The 23,706-nt window shown below is 39.9% G+C and overlaps 1 protein-coding gene and 2 pseudogenes across 9 annotated transcripts in view, besides 4 other annotated features; 2 read left to right on the forward strand and 1 right to left on the reverse strand.

Annotated features, from left to right (window-relative positions):
* FAM151B (family with sequence similarity 151 member B) overlaps positions 1–23,706 on the forward strand; it is a 54,464-nt gene that overhangs the window by 5,130 nt on the left and 25,628 nt on the right. Inside the window, exons 1-3 of one of the 9 annotated variants that reach the window (XM_011543234.3) lie at positions 1,508–2,054; positions 8,563–8,688; positions 20,375–20,540. In XM_011543234.3, the coding sequence (XP_011541536.1) occupies positions 1,982–2,054; positions 8,563–8,688; positions 20,375–20,540 (365 nt within the window). In that variant the 5' untranslated portion in view covers positions 1,508–1,981. Of the gene's footprint in view, positions 1–1,507; positions 2,055–8,220; positions 8,300–8,562; positions 8,689–12,753; positions 12,848–17,484; positions 18,012–19,415; positions 19,536–19,635; positions 19,940–20,374; positions 20,541–23,706 lie in introns of those variants that run through there. The other 8 variants (XM_006714564.4, XM_017009166.2, XM_017009167.2 and 5 more) reach the window with 8 other exon arrangements.
* Positions 295–881: an enhancer, noted in NCBI's record as "OCT4-NANOG hESC enhancer chr5:79789343-79789929 (GRCh37/hg19 assembly coordinates)". NCBI's record gives its function as "activates a minimal SCP1, AML or CMV promoter by ChIP-STARR-seq in primed H9 embryonic stem cells {active_cell/tissue: H9 hESC(primed)}" and the evidence as "EXISTENCE:reporter gene assay evidence [ECO:0000049][PMID:30033119]".
* Positions 3,969–4,469: an enhancer, noted in NCBI's record as "H3K27ac hESC enhancer chr5:79793017-79793517 (GRCh37/hg19 assembly coordinates)". NCBI's record gives its function as "activates a minimal SCP1, AML or CMV promoter by ChIP-STARR-seq in primed H9 embryonic stem cells {active_cell/tissue: H9 hESC(primed)}" and the evidence as "EXISTENCE:reporter gene assay evidence [ECO:0000049][PMID:30033119]".
* Positions 5,264–5,799, reverse strand: RPS27AP9 (RPS27A pseudogene 9; annotated as a pseudogene).
* Positions 7,083–8,239, forward strand: RPL7P24 (ribosomal protein L7 pseudogene 24; annotated as a pseudogene).
* Positions 13,882–14,382: an enhancer, noted in NCBI's record as "H3K27ac hESC enhancer chr5:79802930-79803430 (GRCh37/hg19 assembly coordinates)". NCBI's record gives its function as "activates a minimal SCP1, AML or CMV promoter by ChIP-STARR-seq in primed H9 embryonic stem cells {active_cell/tissue: H9 hESC(primed)}" and the evidence as "EXISTENCE:reporter gene assay evidence [ECO:0000049][PMID:30033119]".
* Positions 19,322–20,521: an enhancer, noted in NCBI's record as "MED14-independent group 3 enhancer chr5:79808370-79809569 (GRCh37/hg19 assembly coordinates)". NCBI's record gives its function as "activates an origin of replication core promoter dependent on BRD2, BRD4, P300/CBP and CDK7 cofactors, and independent of MED14, by STARR-seq in HCT116 cells {active_cell/tissue: HCT116}" and the evidence as "EXISTENCE:reporter gene assay evidence [ECO:0000049][PMID:35650434]".

Consider the following 23,706-nt stretch of genomic DNA (forward strand, 5'->3'; position numbering starts at 1 on the left):
TGGACATTTATCACTTCCCTAATAATACGCTTATAATTTCTTATGCCTGGCTTTACTTTAATCTCTTAATCATGTTATCTTCATAAGCTGAGAATGTACGTCACCTCAGGACCACTGTTGTACAAACTGATTGTAAAACATGTGTGTTTGAACAGTATGAAATCAGTGTACCTTAAAAAAGAACAGAATAACAGCAATTTTCAGGGAAATAGGGAAGATAACCATAAGGTTTGACTGCCTGCGGGGTTGGGCAGAATCGAGCCATATTTTCCTTCTTGCAGAAAGCCTATAAATGGATGTGCGAGTAGGAGAGATATCGCTGAATTCTTTTCCTAGCAAGGAATAACCCTGGGGAAGGAATGCATTCCTGGGGGAAGTCTATAGACAGCTGCTCTGGGAGTGTCTGTCTTATGCGGTTGATATAAGGATTGAAATACACCCTGGCCTCCTGCAGTACCCTCAGGCTTACTAGGATTGGGAAATTCCAGCCTGGTAAATTCTAGTCAGACCGGTTCTCTGCTCTCAAACCCTGTTTCCTGTTAAGATGTTTATCAAGACAATATGTGCACAGCGGGACATAGACCCTCATCAGTAATTCTAATTTTGCCTTGCCTTGTGATCTTAATTGCCCTTTGAAGCATGTGATCCTTGTGACCTACTCCCTGTTCATACACCCCCTCCCCTTTTAAAATCCCTAATAAAAACTTGCTGGTTTTGTGGCTCGGGGTCATCATCACGGTCCTACCAATATGTGATGTCACCCCTGGAGACCCAGCTGTAAAATTTCTCTCTTTGTACTCTTTCTCTTTATTTCTCAGACCAGCTGACACTTAGGGAAAATAGAAAAGAACGTACGTTGAAATATTGGGGGCTGGTTCCCCCGATATATGGAGAAAGTTTGAGTGGTCTGGATAGATCAAACCAGCCACAACATTCCCTTAAGCCAAAGCCTAATCCAGAGTAAGGCCCTAACTCTCATCAATTTTATGAAGACTGTGAGAAGTGCAGAAGCTACAGAAGAAAAGCTGGAGATTCTCAGAGGTTGATTCATGAGGTTTAAGGGAAAAGGCTGTTTCTACAACAAAAAATTTCAAGGTGAAGCAGCAGGTGCTAATGGAGAAGCTACAGCAAGTGATCCAGAAGATCTAGTTAAGATCATTGATGAAAGTAGCTGCACTAACAGCAGATTTTCTTTCTTTCTGTCTTTCTTTCTTTTTCTTTCTTTCTTTTCTTTCTTTCTTTCTTTCTTTCTTTCTTTCTTTCTTTCTTTCTTTCTTTCTTTCTTTCTTTCTTTCTTTTTTAAGACAGGGTCTCCCTCTGTAACACAGGCTGGAGGGCAGTGGCATGATCGTGGCTAATTGCAGCCTGGACCTCCTGGGTTCAATCGATCCTCCCACCTCAGCCCCCCAAGTAGCTGGAACTATAGGCACACACCACCACGGCCTACTAATTTTTGTATTTTTTTGTAGAGACGGGATTTCGTCATGTTGCCCCAGCTGGTCTCGAACTCCTGGGCTCAAGTGATCCTCCCACCTCAGCCTCCCAAAGTGCTGGGACTACAAGCATGAGCCACTGTGCAGGGCCAACAATAGATTGTCAGTGTAAATAAAACAGCCTTCTATTGTAAGAAGATGCCATTAGAACTTTCATTGCTAGAGGGGAAAAGCCAATATTTGGCTTAAAATCTTCAAAAGACAGGCTGACTTTCTTGTTAGGGCTAATGCAGCTGGTGACTTTAAGTGGAAGCCAGTGCTCATTACTATACTGAAAATCACAGGGTCCTTAGGAATTATGCTACATCTACTTCTCTGCCTGTGCTCTAGAAACGTAACAACAAAGCCTGGATGACAGCACGTCTGTTTACAGCATGATTTACAGAATATTTTAAGCCCACTGTGGGGACCTGCTGCTCAGGAAAAAAAATATTTCTTTCAAGATATTACTGTTGATTGACAAGGCACCTGGTCACCCAAGAGCTCTGATGGAGATGTGCAAAGAGATTGATGCTGTTTTCCTGCATGCTTGCATCTATTCTGCAGCCCGTGGATCAAAGGGTAATCTTGACTTACAAGTCTTATTATTTGAGAAATGTTTTGTAAATCTATAGCTGCCATAGATAGTGATTCCTCTGATGGATGTGGGCAAAGAGTCATCATCCTAGATTCCATCAAGAAGATTTGTGATTAATGGGAGAAGGTAAAAATATCAACATTAACAGGAGTTTGGAAGAAGTTGATTCCAGCTCTCATGGGTGACTTTGAGGGATGCAATACTTCAATAGAGGATGTAACTGCAAATGTGATAGAAATAGCAAAAGAGGGCAGGGCGCAGCGGCTCATGCCTATAATCCCAGCACTTTGGGAGGCTGAGGCAGGCGGATCATGAGGTCAGGAGATTGAGACCATCCTGGCTAACACAGTGAAACCCCGTCTCTACTAAAAATGCAAAAAATTAGCCGGGCGTGGTGGCGGACGCCTGTAGTCCCAGCCACTCGGGTGGCTGAGGCAGGAGAATGGCATGAACCCAGGAGGCAGAGCTTGCGGTAAGCCGAGATGCGCCACACTGCACTCCAGCCTGGGCGAAAGAGCGAGACTCCGTCTCAAAAAAAAAAAAAAAAAAAAAAAAAAAAAGAACTAGTAAGAGAACTAGAATTAGAATGGAGCCTGAAGATGTGACTACATTATCGCAATTTTATGATAAGACTTTAATGAACTAGGAGTTCCTTCTTATGTATGAGCAAAGACAGTATTTTCTTGAGATGTAATCTACTTCTGGTGAAGATGCTGTGAACATTGTTGAAATGACCACAGATGATAAAGAATATTACATACACTTAGTTGTTAAAACAGCAGCAGAGTTTGAGAGAATTGACTCTCATTTTGAAAGTTCTCCTGTGGGTAAAATGCTATCAAACAGCATTGTGTGCCACAGAGAGATCTTTCATGAAAGGAAGAATCCACTGATGTCGATAACTTCATTGCCTTATTGTAAGAAATTGTCACAGCCACCACAGCCTTCAGCAACCACCACCCTGATTGGTCAATAGCCATCAACATTGAGGCAAGACCCTCTACCAGTTAAAAGATTACAGCTAGCGGAAGGCTCAGATGATTGTTAACACTTTTTAGCAATAAAGTATTTTAAAATTAAGGTATGCACATTTTTTTAGACATAATGCTATTGTACAACTAATAGGCTACAGTATAACAGTGTAAACATAACTTTTATATGTACTGGGAAACCAAAAATTGTGTGACTTGCTTTATTGTGATACTCACTTTATTCCAGTGGCCCATAACTGAACCTTCTATCTCAGATGTACACCTAGACATCTGTCAAAACCTATAAAATGTATGATACCAAGAGTGAATTCTAATGTAAACTATGGACTTTAGTTAACAAAATGTCAGTATTGGCTCATCTATTCTAACAGACATACCACACTAATGCAAGATGTTAAAAATTGGGGAGCTTTAAATAAAAGCAATTTTTAAATTACCAAAACAGCCAAAACCAGGGAAATCGAGGGAAGAGTGGGGATGATATGGGAACTTTGCTCTTTTTGCTTAATTTTTTTTTTTTTTTTTTTTTTTTTTTTTGAGACGGAGTCTTGCTCTGTCACCCAAGCCGGAGTGCAGTGGTGTGATCTTGGCTCACTGCAACCTCTACCTCCTGGGTTCGAGCTATTTCCCTGCCTCAGACTCCTGAGTAGCTGGGACTACAGACGTGAGCCACCACACCCAGCTAATTTTTGTATTTCTAGTAGAGAAGGGGTTTCAACATATTGGCCAGGCTGGTCTCGAACTCCTGACCTCAGATGATCTGCCCACCTCGACCTCCCAAAGTGCTGGGATTACAGGCGTGAGCCACCATGCCCAGCCTAATTTTTTTCTGTAAATGAAAACTGCTCAAAAGGCCAGGCACGGTGGCTCACGCCTATAATCTCAGCACTTTGGGAGGCCAAGGGCAGCAGATTGCTTGAGGCCAGGAGTTTGAGAACAACCTGGCCAACATGGTGAAACACCATTTCTACTAAAAATACAAAAAGCAGCCGATGTGATGGTAATCTCAGCTGCTCAGAAGGCTGAAGCATAAGAATTGCTTGAACACAGGAGGCGGAGATTGCAGTGAGCTGAGATCATGCCCCTGCACTCCAGCCTGAGTGACAGAGCAAGACTCCGGCTCAAAAAAAAAAAAAAACAAAAACAATAAAAAAACTACTCAAAAACTCAATCTTAAAAAAGTTACAACTATTTTTGCCTTTCTCTTGGCCCTGTTTTCAGAGTTACAGCCTGTTTAAATAATAATACTAAGACCTTAGATCATAGGTAATTGGATCCTCTGTAAGTTTTAAGATATATACAGTCGTGGCTTAAATACAAACTAACAATTTCACTTAGTAAAAGGGTAAGGAAAACTTCTTACTTTAAATTTTTTTAAATTCTAGAGTCCTGGTATTTTATTATTACTCTGTAAGTTGCCTTTATAAAAATTCTGAATGCAGTATGTTTAGTTGAAAAGTGCTGTGGAAGGAAGGGGAACATCACACACCAGGGCCTGTCGTGGGGTAGGGGGAGGGGGGAGGGATAGCATGAGGAGATATACCTAATGTAAATGACGAGTTAATGGGTGCAGCACACCAACATGGCACATGTATACATATGTAACAAACCTGCACGTTGTGCACATGTACCCTAGAACTTAAATAAAAAATAAATAAATAAATAAAAAGTGCTGTGGAAATATCCAATATGAACCATTAACCAACATTTAGGTTTTTCTGGTAATGTAATGCTTATCAGTCCTCTAAATCATTTGGTGTATCTCAAAACCTTCATTTTTAACAGCCACGTTAGTCACATATTCTATCATGCATATGTACTGTGATTTAATTATTTTCCTATTGTTGGACATTTGTTATAGCCAATCAATAATGTGCCTTCTAAAATGGCTACCTTAATATTTTAAAGAATGATGGCCATGTGTTGCCATCTCAGTATGAAAGGTCTATGACTCTATTATATATGCCAAATAGGGCCACGTGTTTTCAGTGAGAGACTGCTTTGGGGATAGTGGATCCTCCACCTAACTGTCCTTTTTTTTTTAAATTCTGCAGCCCAGCGTTAGAAGTGACTGCTAAGTCCCATGTATGTTAGTTAGAATTTGTCTTTATATGCCCCTCCATTCTCTGATATCTTATCAGCAGTTTCCGATAGCCATTTTTAGGTTTAAGGTTTTTGGTTTTTTGGGGGGCTTTTAAAAAAGATGTTAGCTCATGTCTTTTATTAACTCATAGACAATTACTTGTCTTCTGGTTTGTTGAAGCAGTAAGTCAGACAACATTTGCCACAATAATGTCTGTCAAAGTAGCTTGCCATAAACACTCCAGCACCATCTGAATGGCACTCTCGACAAAGGTGTCTAATTTTGCCATTCTCTTCCACCTTATAGTATTTCAGGACAGCCAGCTTCATCTTCTTTCTCTTGTGTTTATTATTCTTGGGAGTGGTGTAAGACTTCTTCCTTTTCTTAGCACCACCACAAAGTCTCAACCCAAGATGAAGAGTAGACTCCTTTTGAATGTTGTAGTCAGACAGAGTACCTCCATTTTCCAGTTGCTTGCCAGCAGAGATCCGTCTTTGCTGATCAGGAGGAATTCCTGGATTTTGGCCTTTACCTTTTCTATTGTGTCCGAGGGTTCAACCTTGAGGGTAGTGGTCTTCCCCGGAAGGGTTTTTACGAAATCTGCATTTTGGTGGCAGCTCCACCACAGATGGCAGATGGAAAAAAAAAAAAAAGTAGTTTTAGGTTTTTAACTGTAGTTAGGCAGAGTTAACAAACAAATAATTAACAGAGGAAAGAATCTCATGCGTGGGGAATTTGCAGGCACTTGCTAGGCTCTTAATAAATGTTTGAAGCATGAACAAGGATTAGGGAGGTAAAATTATGGACAACTTTTTTTCAGCATTTTCTTCTTTTATGTTATGATATAGTATGGAATAGATCTGGGTTCAGATATTTTTGCTACCACTTACCTTAGTCTTGGTTAACTCACAAGTTTTAATGCTTAATCAAGAGAAAATATGTTATACCAAAAAGTAGTTGAAAGATATGAGAATTATGTATATTGCACACGCTAGATAAACTTATGAATGCTAATTCAAGAGATTACTTGCTCACTCATATAGATGTTGCTGAGAATAATCTGAAGGTAGATATGCAGTAAGATATGCAATTTAAATATTAAATTGTTAATATAAATATAGAATGGGGTTTCAGGTAGAGAAAACAATTAAGTGTGTAAAACTTAGAATTTTAAATATAGCTTTGGCTTTACATCAGTTTTCCTTATATTTCTGGACCAGCATTGTAGAGAACATCATATGAAATTTCCAGCTTTTAAATATCTGCTTTAGTTTTGTTTTCTTCCTGCATTCTTATGCTTCTGATGTTCAGACTATCCTATATGTCTACTAATTATTACATTATATAATATATAACATGTTTATATATATTATATACTTGCCACATCATAATACTTGTTCTCTGTTTTTAAAATCTTATATTTTTCCCAGCCTAACTATTTTGTTATTATCCCTCAATATCTTGTCTGTTCTTTGTTAATTTTTTTTTTTTTTTTTACTCTATAACTCAGCAATCCCTTTTCCGGGCACATACCCAAAGGAAATGAAATCACCACTTTGTAAAGATATCTGCACTCCCATGTTCATTGCAGCATTATTTACAGTGGCCAAGGTATGGAAGCAACAAGTGTTTGTTGATAGATGAATGAATAAACAAACTGTGGTACATAGATAAAATGGAATATTATTCAGCCCTAAAGAAGAATGAGAACTTACCATTTTCCACATCATGGATGAGCCCGGAGGACATTATGCTAAGTGAAATAAGCCAGACACAGAAAGAAAAATAGTGTATGATCTCACTTATATGTGGAATAAAAAAAAATCAAATATAACAGAAATAGATGACAAAACAATGGCTATGGGGAGGGGGAAGCAAAGGAAATGGGGAGATGTAGGTTAGAGCATACAGAACAGATATATAAGATGAGCAAGTTGCCTCTTTTTCCGGCTGGAACCATGGAGGGTGTAGAAGAGAAAGAGAAGGTTCCTGCTGTGCCAGAAACCCTTAAGAAAAAGCAAGGGAATTTCGCAGAGCTGAAGATCAAGTGCCTGAGAAAGAAGTTTACCCAAAAGATGCTTTGAAAGGCAAGGAGGAAGCTTATCTGTGAAAAAGCAAAACACTGTCACAAGGAATATAGGCAGATATACAGAACTGAATTTTGAATGGCAAGGATGGCGAGAAAAGCTGGCAACTTCTGTGTACCTGCAGAACCCAAAATGGCATTTGTCCTCAGGATCAGAGGTGTCAGTGGTGTGAGCCCAAAGGTCCGAAAGGTGTTGCAGCTTCTTCGCCTTCATCAAATCTTCAGTGGAACCTTTGTGAAGCTCAACAGGCTTCAGTTAACATGCTGAGGATTGTAGAGCCATATATAGCATGGGGGTACCCAAATCTGAAGTCAGTAAATGAACTAATCTACAAGCGTGGTTATGGCAAAATCAATAAGAAGCGAATTGCTTTAACAGATAACACTTTGATTGTTCCATCTCTTGGTAAATATGGCATCCTCTGCATGGAGGATCTGATTCATGAGATCTATACTGTTGGAAAACACTTCAAAGAAGCAAATAACTTGCTGTGGCCCTTCAAATTATCTTCGCCATGAGGCGGAATGAAGAAAAAGACCATCCATTTTTATTTTATTTTATTTTATTTTTGAGACAGAGTCTCACTCTGTCACCCAGGCTGGAGTGCAGTGGCATGATCTCAGCTCACTGCAACCTCTGCCTCCCATGTTCAAGCGATTCTCCTGTCTCAGCCTCTGGAGTAACTGGGATTACAGGCGTGTGCCACCACACCTGGCTAATTTTTTTTTTTTTATTTTTGTTAGAGACAGGGTTCCACCATGTTGGCCAGGCTGCTCTCCAACTCCTGACCTCAGGTAATCCGCCCACCTCAGCCTCCCAAAGTGCTGGGATTACAGGCGTGAGCCACCGCGCCCGGCCGAGAGACCACCCATTTTGTAGAAGGTGGAGATGCTGGCAACAGGGAGGACCAGATCAACAGGCTTACTAGAAGAATGAAATAAGATGTCTACCATGATTATTTTTCTAAGCTGGTCAGTTAGTAAACAGTACCTGCTCTCAAATTGAAAAAAAAAAAAAAAAAAAAAGATGAACAAGTCAAGATCTAATGTGCAACATGAGGACTCCAGGTAATAAAATTGTACTGTATATAAGGGATTCGTGTTAAATGAGATTTTAGCTGTTCTTGCCACACAGAGAAAACAGATATGTGAGATGATGGATATGTTAATTTGCTTCATTATAGTAACCTTTTTACTATCTATCTATCTATCTATATATATATATCACATAACAGCATATGTGTATCTTAAATATACACAATGAAAGTGATTTTAAAAATTTTACCCTATAAAAAACAATATCACTTTTCATGTAAACACTGTTATTTTAGGATCTTGGAGTGAAAATATACTGGAATATTTTCTGAGAAATAGCCAGATTACAGCAGAAGACGGTGCTGAGATCACCTGGTATCATGCAGCTAACCACAAGGCACAAACAAATGAGGCACTGAAAAGTAAGTCAGTACAGTTACTTGTAATTTACTTTGGATAATAGATTAATTCAACTCCTTTTTTGATATCTAGGTATATTTGCAGATACTAGAGACAGGTGATCCAAGTGTAAGTTCCAGGCTGACATGAGTATTTTATTTATTTTTATTTATTATTTAATTATTATTTATTCATTTTTAGAGACATAGTCTCTCTCTGTTGCCCAGGCTGGAAAACAAAGGTGTAATCACAGCTCATTGCAGGCTCAAACTCCTGGGCTCAGGTAATCTGTGAGCCATCACACCAGGCTGAACATTTTTATAAAGTGTTTCATTTTGTTTACAAAATGGACAAATTGCATAATGAAAGAATTTTCTTATTTTCTAGAAGCAATTTGCCTGTTATGTCTGATTCGAAACTCTCATATATTATTATATTTTCTTATGTATGTAGTGATTTGAGTAAAACTTTTAAGATCAGGACCATGTATCTTACATATTTTTATGTCTTTCATCATGTACTAATGAGAAACCCACTCAATATTTGTTCAATGGATGGATGAAGGCATTGTATACCAATTTATAATTAATAAATAATTGGGCAATATTTATGCCTAAGCTAGAAATCAAGTCTTTGGTTTACTGATTCAACCTGTAATCATTGTATGTATATCCCTTCATTATACAGATGAACATTATAGCAGTGTTTCTCAGCCTTTTCCTATAAAGTGCTCATGTTGGCTGCAGCAGGAAAGGAGAAAGAAAGCATATCACTACAGGGCCGGGGCAGAGCTTGCAGTATCTGGTCCAACAAGAAATTACCTTGAAATTCCATATTTTATTATAAAAGTGTATGCATTTTTGCATCCTAATTCATTATATATCTCAGCTTCTTTTATTGTCAAAACACTGTTTTAAATTGTATTTTTCTCCTCAAAAGGAAGAATTTTGTCTTGTTTCATGTTGAATCCTTAATGCCTGAAACAGTGCGTAGCATATAATAACTACACAGTGATTATTTAGTAAATGAATTTTAGCAAAATTGATGCCTCAGGAAATGGTTGCTTAATGATTGTCAGGAACTGTAAGGAGTCAATGCTAATGAGTACAGGGTTTCTTTTTTGGATGATGAAATTTTTCTAGAATTAGAGAGTGGTTATAGTTACATAACCTTCTGAATACGCTAAATAAAAACCACTAAAGGGTTCACTTTAAAAGGGTGAATTTTATAGTATGTAAATTATGTCTCAGTTTTTAAAAATGAAAAAAATGATAGGAAAGGAAGAAATAAAACCTTTATTCACAGACAGTATGATTGTGTTTATAGAAAACAAAAAAGATTCTATAGATAAATGATCATAATAAATAGGTGAACTTAGAAAATCTCAGGATGTGGTCAGGGCGGTGGCTCATGCCTGTAATCCCAGCACTTTGGGAAGCCAAGTTGGGTGGATCATTTGACCCCAGGAGTTGAAGATCAGCTTAGGCAACATAGTGAGACCCTGTCTCTACAAAAAATAGAAAAATTAGCCGGGCATGGTGGCATGTACCTGTAGTCACAGCTACTCAGGAAGCTGAGTCAGGAGGATCGATTGAGCCCAAGAGCTGGAGGCTGCAGTGAGCTGTGATTGCACCATTGCACTCCAACCTAGGTGACAGAGTGAGGACCTTGTCTCAAAAAAAAAGAAAGAAAGCAAAGAAAAGAAAATCTCAGGATTCAAGGTCAAAATAGAAAATAAATTCTGTTTTTTTCTAATAACTGAAAATCTAGAAATACAACTTAAAAAATTTTACAATTTGTATAATAATAGTATATACAAAGCCCTTTTGCCATCATAGCCTGGGGATGGTGAAAAGTTACTTTTGCTATGCTGAACAGGAGTTGATGAAGCAAGGCAAAGTCTGGCCATGGTCACAAGCTGGAGCTCCTGTGGGTGAGGCAACGTATGCCTTGATATACAGACTTCCTCCTCTTGCTGTCCCTGTTATATGAGACTATTAGAACCATGCAGTCTCCCAAGCAGAAGTGTGCCCTGACTTTTAAAAGTCTTCTACCCACAGGCTATGGATGGAAGACTAGGGAGAGGGGCTGGGCAGCTTCTGTATCTTCTGTGTCTCCAGGCCAGGTCTCCCTCTCTTGTTAGGACTGTTAATATTAGTCCATCCAACTGCTTATTGATGTTTCCACTTAGAGATCTCTCATGCGTCTCAAATTTACGTTATCCGAAATGAGATTCTTGACTATATTTACTAACCTGCACTTCCTGTGATCTTTCTTGTCTCAGGAAATGGCACCACAATCTACTTAGATGTTTCAACCAGAAATCTAGGAGTCATTTTTTCGCTCCTTTCTTTATTCTTGTATCTAATATCCAATCATTATGATTCTATTCCAAAATACATTTTGAATTAGTCCACATCTTTCTTTCCATCTTTCTTATCATTATCCTAGAAGCCACCAGGATTTCTTGCTCATACTGCTGTAGTTCCCCCTTTTTTTTCATGTAGGAGACCTTAGGAACATACTTTACATGGGCCCAGAGACTCCTCAACTTGCCCATTTACTGATTTTTTTTCTATCTATTGGAAATAATGGAATTAGCAGACTGCGACTATTACTCTTTTTTTTTTTTTTTTTTTTTTTTTGAGATGGAGTCTTGATCTGTCGCCAGGCTGGAGTGCAGTGGCACGATCTATGCTCACTGCAACCTCTGCCTCCCGGGTTCAAGCCATCCTCCTGCCTCAGCCTCTGAGTAGCTGGGACTATGGGCATGTGCCACCATGCCCAGCTAATTTTTGTATTTTTAGTAGAGATGGGGTTTCACCATGTTGGCTAGGATGGTCTCCATCTCCTGATCTCCTGATCTGCCCTCCTTGGCCTCCCAAAGTGCTGGGATTAGACTATCACTCTTAAATGAAAGATTCCAAGCTTTTGTGCCCCTTTATAACCACACTGATAAAGGAGACCTACAACCCCCTTCCCCAACTTCATCCTGGGAAAATAATAAAAGACTAGATCATCTATCTTTCTGCAAATTCACTTGCCCTGTTGTCCTTGCAGAAGTTTGGCCATAGGGTGAAAGAACAACTTCTCTGTATCTGCCCTCCCCCTGGCGAGATAAGCCACACAAACATCAGGACTCAGCACTATTCACATGGTTGAAGAATTCCACCTTTGGCAGAGGGCTGGAAGCTGTTTGGATAGTACCTGGACATTGCTTAGAATTGCATTTGATAGAGAATAAAAGGAGTATAAAACTCTTTGATTGGTCTTGGTGTTTTGGTGTTTATTTCTTTATTTTTATTTTTTGTAGAGAGTCTGGTCCCAAACTCCTGGCTGCAAGCAGTCCTCCTGCCTCAGCCTCCCAAAGTGCTGGGATTACAGGTGTGAGCACCACACCCAGCCATTTTGTTATTTTATGCTTTGCCTCACTGTAATTAAAAGATCCTAAATATGGTATAGCTTAGAGAAGAGAGACATAGCAAACATCCATTGAGTTCTTTTTTTTTTTCTTTTTTGAGACAGAGTCTCACTCTGTCACCCAGGCTGGAGTGCAGTGGCACGATCTCGGCTCACTGCAAGCTCCGCCTCCTGGGTTCACACCATTCTCCTGCCTCAGCCTCCCAAGTAGCTGGGACTGCAGGCACCCGCCATCACGCCTGGCTAATTTTTTGTATTTTTAGTAGAGACGGGGTTTCACTGTGTTAGCCAGGATGGTCTCGATCTCCTGACCTCGTGATCTGCCCGCCTCGGCCTCCTAACTTGCTGGGATTACAGGCGTGAGCCACCGCACCCAGCCACATCCATTGAGTTCTTACTACATCACCAGTCCCCTTTTCTTTCTTCCTATAAGAATTTTTTTTTTTTTTTTTTTTTTTTTGAGACAGAGTCTCGCACTGTCATCTGGGCTGGAGGGAAATGGCACAATCTCGGCTCACTGCAACCTCTGCCTCCTGTATTCACGTGATTCTCCTGCTTCAGCCTCCCGAGTAGCTGGGATTACAGGCTCACACCACCACACCCGGCTAATTTTTTGTATTTTTTGTAGAGACGAGATTTCACCGTGTTGGCCAGACTGGTCTCGAACTCCTGACCTCATGATCCGCCTGCCTTGGCCTCGCGAAGTGCTGGGATTACAGGTGTGAGCCACCACGCCCGGCCAAGAACTTTACTTTTATTAAGGTATCCATTTCTGCTCCATACAAGCATATGGAAACTGGTTCCATTTGTAGCTCCAGGGGTGCATTACAATAAGTTAATCAGCACTTGAAGTTTTCCTGATGATTCATATTGCTCCCATGGTGGGCAAGTGATCAAACTGGGCTCAATTAGACTCAAGTAAAGTAATTATAATTACCAAAGAAGTTTTATATCTTAAAATTGAAGTATGTGAACATGAAAATATGTAGCCCTAGTGATTATTGGTAGCTGTCTTAAAATCATGAGATGAAATTAGCCTTACGATGAAGACGACACCAAGGACAGTGAAGAAAAGAGACATAAAGATCACAATAACATCACTGAGCTGCTGATTGTACCACACTTAAAGCTCACCTGACCCCTGGACTTTTAGTTATTTGAGATGATAAATCTACTAGCTTGAATCTGAATTTCTATTTATTTGCCGCCAGAAGCATCCAGTAGATCTATGAGTCCATCCTAATTGGATAGATTATTTTCCCTGCTTCCACACTTGCCCCTGTCTATTTTATTTTCCACCCAGCATCCAAAGTGGTATATTTAAACATAAATCAAGCCTCTTTATTGGTCTCAAATGGTGTTCCATTTAAAATCTTTAATATAATTGCTAGATAGAAACATGTTTGGTTCTACTGCTCTGGTTTCCAAGAGGAGAGATTTTTTTCCCTAAAGGCTTTGACCTCTTGCCTCACTGTTTATTTCTCTCATAGAGGTTGAGAGATTGTTTTGATTTGTAGTTCTTGACTGGGTGGAGCTAATCTATCAAATGCACTAGGCCAAGCAAGGTGGCTCACGCCTGTACTCCCAGCACTTTGGGAGGTCGAGACCAGCCTGGCCAACATGGTGAACCTCCGTCTCTACTAAAAATACAAAAATTAGCTGTGCATGGTGGTGCATGCCTGTAGTCCCAGCTATTTGGGAGGCTGAGGCAGGAGAATTGCTTGAACCCAGGAAGCAGAGGTTGCAGTGAGCCAAGATCATGCCACTGCACTCCAGCCTGGGTAACAGGGTGAGACTCCATCTCAAAAAAAAAAAAAAAAAAATGTGCTGGACAAGGGAGTGAGCTCTTCTCTTCCACTGGGAAGCAGCCATCTGGATATTTGTATTTGTTAGAACTTTGCTTCAAAGGGGCTGTTCCAAGATTTGGACTAGAGGGTGACTGTGGCAGTTAGCAGGTAGCAGGCACAGGCTTATTTAGTTCTCAACTAAGCTGTGTCCTCTGACCTAGCTTTAGAGGTAATACAAGTATACTTTGATCCCTGTCTACTTAACTTGGCTATTTTATTTCTCAAGATCCACTTGGAGGCCAGGTGTGGTGGTTCACGCCTATAATCCCAGCACTTTGGGAGGCCAAGGCAGGTGGATTGCTTGAGACCAGGAGTTTGAGACCAGCCTGGGCAACATGGAGAAACCCCGTCTCTACTAAAAATACAAAAATTAGCTGGGCATGGTGGTGCATGCCTGTAATCCCAGCTACTTGGGAGGCTCAGGCAGGAGAATTGCTTGAACCCAGGAGACAGAGGCTGCAGTGAGCTGAGATCATGCCACTGCATTCCAGCCTGGGCGACAGAACGAGACTCTGTCTCAAAACAAACAAACAAAAAACAGATCCATTTGGAGAAAGGGGTGCTATTTATTGGCATCTTCAAACTACTTCAATAACCTGAAGGGCCTGCACAGACTGGCCTGTGTCTCCAAGTCCACCTTCACAGTGTTTTCACATTCCTAGAAATTCCCACACTGGCCTCACAGCAGTGCCTTGCATGGCTACGCTCCCTCCTCCTTGGGCTGTCACACACATTCTTTCCTGGAAAGCTCTTTTCCCCACACTCTGCCTTGCTAACCCCTTAAGCTGATCCTTTGGTATCGGCTGAATTGTCACTTCCTCAAAAAGACTTTTCCTGACTCCAGAATCAAAATTCAGGGAAGCACCTTCCTATGTGGCCTTTTGTGACTGGCTTCTTCAATTAGTATGTTTTCAAAGTTCAGCTGTTTTCTAGTGTGTATCAGTTCTTTATTCCTTTTTATGACTGAATCATTTTTGTATGTAGATATACCACATTTTGTTTATCCATTCATCAACTGGTAGACATTGGTTGTTTCCCTTTTTTGCTACTATGATTACTGCTGCTATGAGCATTCACATACAGGTGTTTTTGTAGACATGTGTTTTCAGTTCTCTTGCTTATATGTCTAGGAGTAGAATTCCTGGGTCACATGGTAACTATATGTTTAACTTTTTAAAGAACTGCCAAACTTTTCCAAAGTGCCTGCTCCTTTTTACATTCCTCCTAGCAGTGTGGATAAGGGTTCTAGTTTCTCCACATCTTTGCCAACACTTGTTATTGTACTTTTTTTTTTTAATTATAGCCAGCTAAGTGTATATGAATTGGTATCTCATTGTGGTGTAGATTTGCATCCCCTAAAGACTAATGCTGGTGAGCATCTCTTTGTGTGCTTTTTGGAAATTGGCTTATATTTGCAGCTGAGTAGCTTTCTTAGCCTGTTCCCTGCCTGTAGAAATTTGGGAGCCCACAGACCTCTTTTCGTTTTGAACTATCTCTGTCCTTTTGTGTCCAAGTAGTTATATCTCCCTTAAAAATATAGTGGGCTTTTAATATATTAAATTTAATCAGAAGCCACACCCCCGTCTCTTTGAGGTAGACCTCTCTCTACTTTGGTATGCAAGTTAAGGTGCAGTGGACAACACCCTTAAGATTCCAGAAGATTCCATATCTAGCTATGTGGCTACATGAGGCACCTTCTTTCTGAGGGCTTAATAAAGGGTCATATGGTTGTACCCTTGGCTTGATATTGACACTGAGGCCATGTTTTACTGGTGCTATGGTTTGAATGTTTGTTCCATCCAAAACTCATGTTGAAATTTTTTTTTTTAAGAGACAACGTCTCACTCTGTCACCCAGGCCGTAGTGCAGTGACGCAATCACAGCTCACTACAGCCTTGACCTCTTAGGCTTAAGCGATTCTCCCTCCTCAGCCTTCTAAGTAGCTGGGACTACAGGCGTGTGCCACCAGCATGCCTGGCTAATTTTTTTTTTTTTCCAGTAGAGATGAGGTCTCGCTATGTTGCCCAGGCTGGTCTTGAACTCCTATGCTCAAGTGATCCTCCTGCCTCTGGCTCCCAAAGTGCTGGGATTACAGGAGTAAGCCACCACTCTGGCTTCATGTTGAAATTTAATTGCCAGTGTAACACTGCTGCGAGGTGATTAGGCCATGAGGGGTCCACCTTCATGGGTGGGTTTAATGCCATATTTAAAGGACTTTGGAAAGTGGGTGTTCTCTCGCTCCGCCTTCCACCAGATGAAAATGCAGTGAGAAGGCCCTCTTTAAGTATCAGCACTTTGATATTGGATTTCCCAGCCTCCAGAATGGTGAGCCAATAAATGTCTGTTTATTATAAATTACCCAGTCTGTGTTATTCTGTCATCACAGTATAACACAGACTAAGACAGGCAACACCCTAGATTTAAATTTTGGCCCGAGACTGTCTCTTACTTTGAGAATCTCTTGCCAGCTGGAGAGGACAGGAATAAGAAACAGTTTTATTTTCAAATTCAGAAAGTCCTGATTTGGAAATATTTTCTCTATATGCTGCTGAAAATCTGAAACGTTAATTATTTAGCTTAGCTCTTTCTTCTCATTCTTTATTATAAGCAGTTAAAAGAAGCCAGTTGCCACTTTCACCATTTCCCCTGGAAACCTCTTTAGCCAAATACACAGGTTCACTGGGTATCCTGTCTATCTTCCACCAGTTGCTACAGTGACAGTGTTGCCAGAAGTTTTACCACTATGGAAAACAATAAAATGAGCTTATTGTTCTCAAGCTTCCAGTAAGAATTTCTGCACTGCTCTTCCAGCTTCCATGAACAGTTCCCTCCTTGCCTTTCTTAGCCTCCACCAGGTCACAAAGCCAATGCCACATGTTTCAGGTTTTTGATATGGCAACACTCCACTTCCAGCTACCTATTGCTTTTTATCTATTGCTGTGTAATAGAATACCCAAAAATGAGTGACTTAAAATAGCAGTGCTGTATTTTTTTCTGATGATTTTATGGGTCAGCTGGTGGTTCTGTTGCATGTAGTACGGGCTTAGGACGTTCATGTAGCTGCATTCAGCTGGGTGCCCAGCTGGGCCTGGAAATTCTAAAATGACCTCACTCATATGTCAGTGGCCTTAATGCTCTCTGTCAGATAGGAAGTCTTAGTTCTCCTCCACGTGGCTTCTCTCTCTCTATGTGGTCTCTCAGTCTTCGGTAATCTTGCATGAATGTCTTTACATGGTGGCTGGATTTCAAGAGTAAGAAAACTGAAGGTGCCAGCAGTTTTAAAGGCTAGGCCTAGAACTGACAGTTTTATTTCCACTACCTTCTGTTGGTCAAAGCAGATCACAAGTGGTGCCAATCATAATCCCAAAAGACACAATCCCAAATGCCATATCCCAAGTGTTGAAATGCTGAAAGATCAAAATCCATAGCCTAAAATCCTTAATATCTAATTGAATCCCCAAACTATAATGATAGATTTAGAATTAGGTGCAATCAAGGCTTATAAGAGTGAATTTCAAGTTGTTACCAGTAAAGTTTGTCTTTTTCATTCAGCCTGATGCCTTTAACAGAAAACTCAGATGAGTGGATTGGTCACGTGAGATGGCAGTGACAAAAACTTCAGTTTAAAATGCCTTATGGATCTGTATTGGCATTCCTTCCCGCTGATGAAATTCTAGGAGCTTTTAGTAAATTAAAGCTGCATTTGCATGAAGAAGCCAGAGAAATTACTGACTGGTTTGAAGATAATGACGTGCATGGTCGGATAAGAAGACATGCCCTGGAGTTGCTGTTTGACCATCAGTATTGTTTCCACCAAATTTGTGATCTGCATATAAGTGCATGTGAAATGGATTTCCACATACCCAAAACAGCATAGAAACATGGCACAGAAGATCGGAAAGTTTAATAGGGAATACTCATGCAGGTGCATATCAAATCATAGAAGAAGTTGAGAAAAAACAGCGCCACATAGAAAATGAATCTGAATGTATCCTCCAAGGAGACTCATGCCCTAAAAGAAAAAATGTGGCCGGGTGTGGTGGCTCTCACCTGGAATCTTAGCACTTTGAGAGGCAGAGGTGAGAGAATCATTTGAGTCCAGGAGTTTGAGACCAACCTGGGCAACACAGTGAGACCTCATCTCTACTAAAAATTTAGAAAAATTAGCAGGGTGTGGTGGTGCATGCTTGTAGTCCTGGCTACTCAGGAGGCTGAGGCAGGAGGATCCCTGGAGCCCAAGAGTTTCAGGTTGCAATAGAGTGAGACTCTGTCTCAAAAAAAAAAAAAAAAAAAAAAAAAGGAAAGAAGAAAGCAACTATTTATTGCAGTGCAGGTTGGCCACCTCTTATGGAGTACACTTGTGCGATTACCTGTCATCTATCCCACTTTTTTCATGTGTCAAAGCTTCTTTTTCGTTTTTGCCCACTATTTTATTATTTATCTTTAAAAAAAATTTTTTTTTGAGACAGGAGTCTTGCTCTGTTGGCCAGGCTGGAGTGCAGTGGCACAATCTCAGCTCACTGCAACTTCCGCCTCCTGGGTTCAAGTGATTCTCCTGCCTCAGCCTCCTGAGTAGCTGGGATTACAGGCGCCTGCCACCACACTTGGCTAAATTTTGAGTTTTTAGTGGATACGGGGTTTCTCCATGTTGGCCAGGTTGGTCTCAAACTCCTGACCTCAGGTGATCTGCCTGCCTCAGCCTCCCAAAGTGCTAGGATTATAAGCGTGAGCCACCATGCTTGGCCATTTCCACTATTTTAAATGGTCAGCATTGTTTTTTATAATTCACTATGCTACATAATTCATCTTTGCATTGTTTCTGGTATTGGAGGTATAGATTGTATAAAGACTCTTAGAGTGTTCTAATTTGTTTTATGCATTTTTTTCAAATTTGACTCCACAGAGCTGCATTTTCACAACATTGACTTTGTGTGTAACCATTGCGCTTATTGATAAAAACGTTGAAACTTTCACAGGAAATGAAGAGATATCCATTTGTACATCTGCATTTGTGAAAGATAAAATTTCTCAAGATCACAGTTCTTTGGGTGACTATGTGTATGATGGCAACCCATCACAGTTTTTGACTGATCTTGTCAAAAGACTTAGGTTGTTCATCAAGTTATTTCAGATGACTGCAGTTATTTAAGCTATTTCTTTATGATTACAGTTCATTTGCTCATGTTATATCTCTGAACTGATTAATATACCTGGGTGTTTATGCTTGCAAAAATGTGTGTTATTATTGCCTATTTTATTGTGTAAAGTGGCCTCTGAAGTGTTCTGCCATGTTTTCATAGGTTTCTCAAATAAATGCCCTTTTAAAAATGAACAGGATTGGCACAGTGGCTCATGCCTGTAATCCCAGCACTTGAGGAGGCCAAAGCAAGATTACTTGAGCCCAAGAGTTCACGACCAGCCTGGGCAACATAGTGAGACCCTGTCTCTACAACAGATATTTTTTAAAAAAATCAGCTGGGCATGGTGGCACACACCTGTAGTCCTAGCTACTCAGGAAGCTGAGGCGGGAGGATTGCTTGAGCTCAGGAGGTCAAAGCTTCGGTGAAGTATAATGCTGCTACTGCATCAGCCTGGATGACAGGGTAAGACCCTGTTTCTAAAAAAAAAAAAAAAGAAATTTAAAAAAATGTAAGTAAATGCATTTTAAAGAATTTTTAAAATTATTTTTTCCAATATTTTCAGGATTTTGATCTTTTGGGATTGTGATTTTGGGGATTTTAGACTTTAGGGATTTTGATTTTCTGGGATTTCAAAATTCGAGATTATGGCATTTGGGGAATTACGGCCCCAACCCATCACAAGACCTGCCCAGCTGAAGAGGCAGGGAAGAGGATGTTGATGGGAAGAGCGGTATGCATGTCCTGGAGGAGTTGTTGGCAGCCATCTTGGAGTCAGTCTGTCACAGCCTGCTGAACATACTTACACCATGTCTGCTGAAGCTCCTTACCTGTTCAAAGGATGTATGCTTTTAAGCAGTAACTAAACCGTAAGTCAAAGAAGTGAATTTTTAATGTAGATTTTCAAACATGAGCAATGAATATCCATAATTTCTAATTTGAGGAGTGAGAAGATAAAAGTACGATTTTTATTCCCAGAAAGCTTCAGCAAATACTTATTAAGCCTTTCATTATGTATGTACTTTGCTGGTATTAGAAAGAAATTCAGAATTTGTATGTCAACAGCTTAAGATCTGTGTAACTTAGGGAAAGTCATTTAACTTCTTGACATCTGTTTGCTAATCTAAAAAATAGGGAGAATGTGTACGGACCTTGTATACTGCCTGGCATGGGATAATCGCTCACTGAGTGTTACTTTTCTTTCCTTTTTTTTTATCTTCCTCAAAAGGATACTGAACATGGTGCCTCCTGTAGTTCTGTGCCCTGTTTTCTTAGCATTAACTGAAGTTCTTTTATTTGGACAGGTACTGCTCACATGATAGAGGCTGATGTCCTTCTTCCAAGTGATGGATCAGAACACAGCCAGCCAATTATGGCCCATCCCCCTGAAACAAACAGTGATAATACTCTACAGGAGTGGCTGACTGAAGTTATGAAAAGCAATAAAGGCATCAAGCTGGATTTCAAAAGGTATTTGTATAAACACGTTCAATTTTCTGGGAAAAAAGTAATAGCTGTGCCTGACTACCTATTTTTTTTAATGTTATCCAAACTGAAAATGGAATTGTAGACTCTAATATATTTCAGGACTGAACCTAAATGAACCTAAGACCCACTGAGTTATTTACTAAAATTGTTTTTTGGAGACCCTTAAAGGCAAAAGTTAGATTAATTTTTATAAAGGAATTTATCATAAGTGACCATCGTGACAACAGAAAGGTAAATTAAAAATGCTACATATGTTAAAAAGTAACCCAGGAGAGAGAGAGCTGGGAGAAATTCATTGAGCTAGTTAATGCATACCCTATTTGATTTATGTTATTATATTTGTAAAGGGAATTATTTAGAATTCTCCAATAACCAAAGTGTTTCTTAAAAATAATGCTTGGAGGCAGCCGGGCACAGTGGCTTCAGCCTGTAATTCCAGCACTTTGGGAGGCTGAGGTGGGCGAATCAACCGAGGTCAGGAGTTTGAGACCAGCCTGACCAAAATGGCGAAACGCCACCTCTACTAAAAATACAAAAATTAGCCAAGCATGGTGGTGGGCGCCTGTAATCACAGCTACTGGGGAGGCTGAGGCAGGAGAATTGCTTGAACCTGGGAGGCGGAGGTTGCAGTGAGCCGAGATCACGCCATTGAATTCCAGCCTGGGCTACAAGAGTGAAACTCCCTCTCAAATAATAATAATAATAATAATAATAATAATAATAATAATAATAATATTTGGAGGCATTAATACTGAAGAGCAAGAGTAAGCTGTCATTTCCTTCACTGTGGCCATCACAGGAAATTTTACTTTTGTAGTATTTTAGCAGTGTAAAAATGATAAAGAAAGCCAGAAATATACAGCAACACTTCAGAAGCACACTGTAAAGCTTATGAAGGCAGCTGCTATTGAAATCTAGGATTGGCAGTAAGCCTACTTCATCTCTGAGTAATATTTTTAAATAGAATTATCTCAAGAAATTAATAAGGACTTGGAATCTTGTAGGATTCTTAAGATGACTCTAACCATTTGTTATGGGGCAAAATATACCAGTAAACCTTATTATACCGTTAGTGAATGAATAGATGTATAAAATCTTGATATACAGGAGTTTGGATTGACAGGGTCTTGTGAATTAAAGAACTATCTTAAGATCATAAACTTTTTTTTCGACCGGGCACGGTGGCTCACGCTTGTAATCCCAGCACTTTGGGAGGCCAAGGCGGGTGGATCACCTGAGGTTAGGAGTTTGAGACCAGCCTGGCCAACATGGTGAAACCCCTTCTCTACTAAAAATACAGAAAATTAGCCAGGCATGGTGGTGCGCACCTGTAATTCAGCTACTCGGGAGGCTGAGGCAGGAGAACCTCTTGAACCCAGGAGGTGGAGGTTGCAGTGAGTTGAGATTGCGCCACGGCACTCCAGCCTCGGCAACAAGAGCAAAACTCTGTCTCAAAAAAATAAATAAATAAATAAATAATAAAAAATCATAAACTTTTTGAGTTATCAATGGTTCAATTTCATTTTATTGACAAAGAAACTTAGTTCCAGAGAGGTTAAGTGATGTACCTGAGGGTAACAGGTAAGCTTTGACAGGTAAGCTACAACCAGATCCTAATTCTCCTGAAGCCAGTCCAGTGTTCTCTATATCATGAAATAAAGCATTTGATCTTTAGTGCTTGATGGCTTAAACTTTTAGATCTCCTTGATGTCACGTGCTCAGTTTTTCATGTTTACTATTGCCCCTTGAATTGTTTCCTGGGACATATTCTTTGGCTTCTCACCAGTCAGATCAGCTCATTCATTCTTAAGTGCTAGCAGCTAGCACAAAAGCGCTGAGCCTCTGAAACAAAGATTTTGCAAGTTTTTTTTAAAGTCATAACATATTTGAAGGGGATTCAATATAAACTAATAGGTATGTGAACACCTATTACATGTCAGACACTGTTGTAAAAGCATTGCATGTATTTTTCATTAAATTCTCGTAACAATCCTAAGAGGTAGGTTATTGCTGTTATTCTCATTTTCCGGATGAGGCAATGGAGATGGAGGGGCTGAGGAGCCCGCTTGTCACGTAGTTGTTAGTGGAACTAGAGAGCTGTCAGCCTGGCTGGAGAGTTCACACTTTTAACCAGAATGCTGCACTCACTCCCTTTGTAAGAGCAGCTGAATGACCTGTTAGTTAAGTTTTAGTAGTTCTTGTTTTGTGCTTCTAAGTTACTTTGTTTGGTACACAAATAAAAAGTATTATATTTTGGCTGGGCGCAGTGGCTCATGACTATAATCCCAGCACTTTGGTAGGCCAAGGTGGGCGAATCACCTGAGGTCAGGAGTTCTAGACCAGCCTGACCAACATGGAGAAACCCCGTTTCTACTAAAAATACAAAATTAGCTGGACGTGGTGGCACATGCCTGTAATCCCAGCTATTCGGAAGGCTGAGGCAGGAGAATCACTTGGACCCGGGAAGCGGAGGTTGCAGTGAGCCGAGATCATGCCATTGCACTCCAGCCTGGGCAACAAGAGTGAAACGCCATCTCAAAAAAAAAGTATTATATTTTTAAATTTTATCTGGAGTCTCAGCAAGCTCTTCAGCGTTTTAGCTAAGAATTATTTTCCCTTAAACAATGCAATTTTATATAGTTTGTTACAATTTTAAGTACGATATTTATTTTATCATTCCCAATTTTTAAATGAAATTAATAGGAAAACAGGGTATGATATTTAGAAGTTTGATTTACAAATAACTTTTTAGGAAAAAAATATATTCTATAATAACTAAGTTTATATTCTTTTCAGGAGACTTAAATAAATACCACCAAGGAGCAATTTTCAGTAGTAGTCTCACCAGGACTTTCCTCTTCGGATGATCATCTTGGTGAAGCTTTGGTACTTCCTTATGGAAACTTAGTACTAATATATGTAAGAATTGAGAATGTTGGCCACTGTATTTTAAATTAGAATCACATGGAATTTATAGATTAATTTAGAAGGATGTGTCATTTTATAATACATGCAATATTGAGTCTTCCAGGCTTGGTCTGTTATTTCTTGTAGTATACAGTAGTCCTCTGTTATCTGCAGTTTCAGTAACCTGCAGTACACCATGGTCTAAAAGTGTTAAATGGAAAATTTGAGAAATAAACAATAA

This window comes from Homo sapiens, chromosome 5 (assembly GCF_000001405.40).
Source record: "Homo sapiens chromosome 5, GRCh38.p14 Primary Assembly".
NCBI lineage: Eukaryota > Metazoa > Chordata > Mammalia > Primates > Hominidae > Homo > Homo sapiens.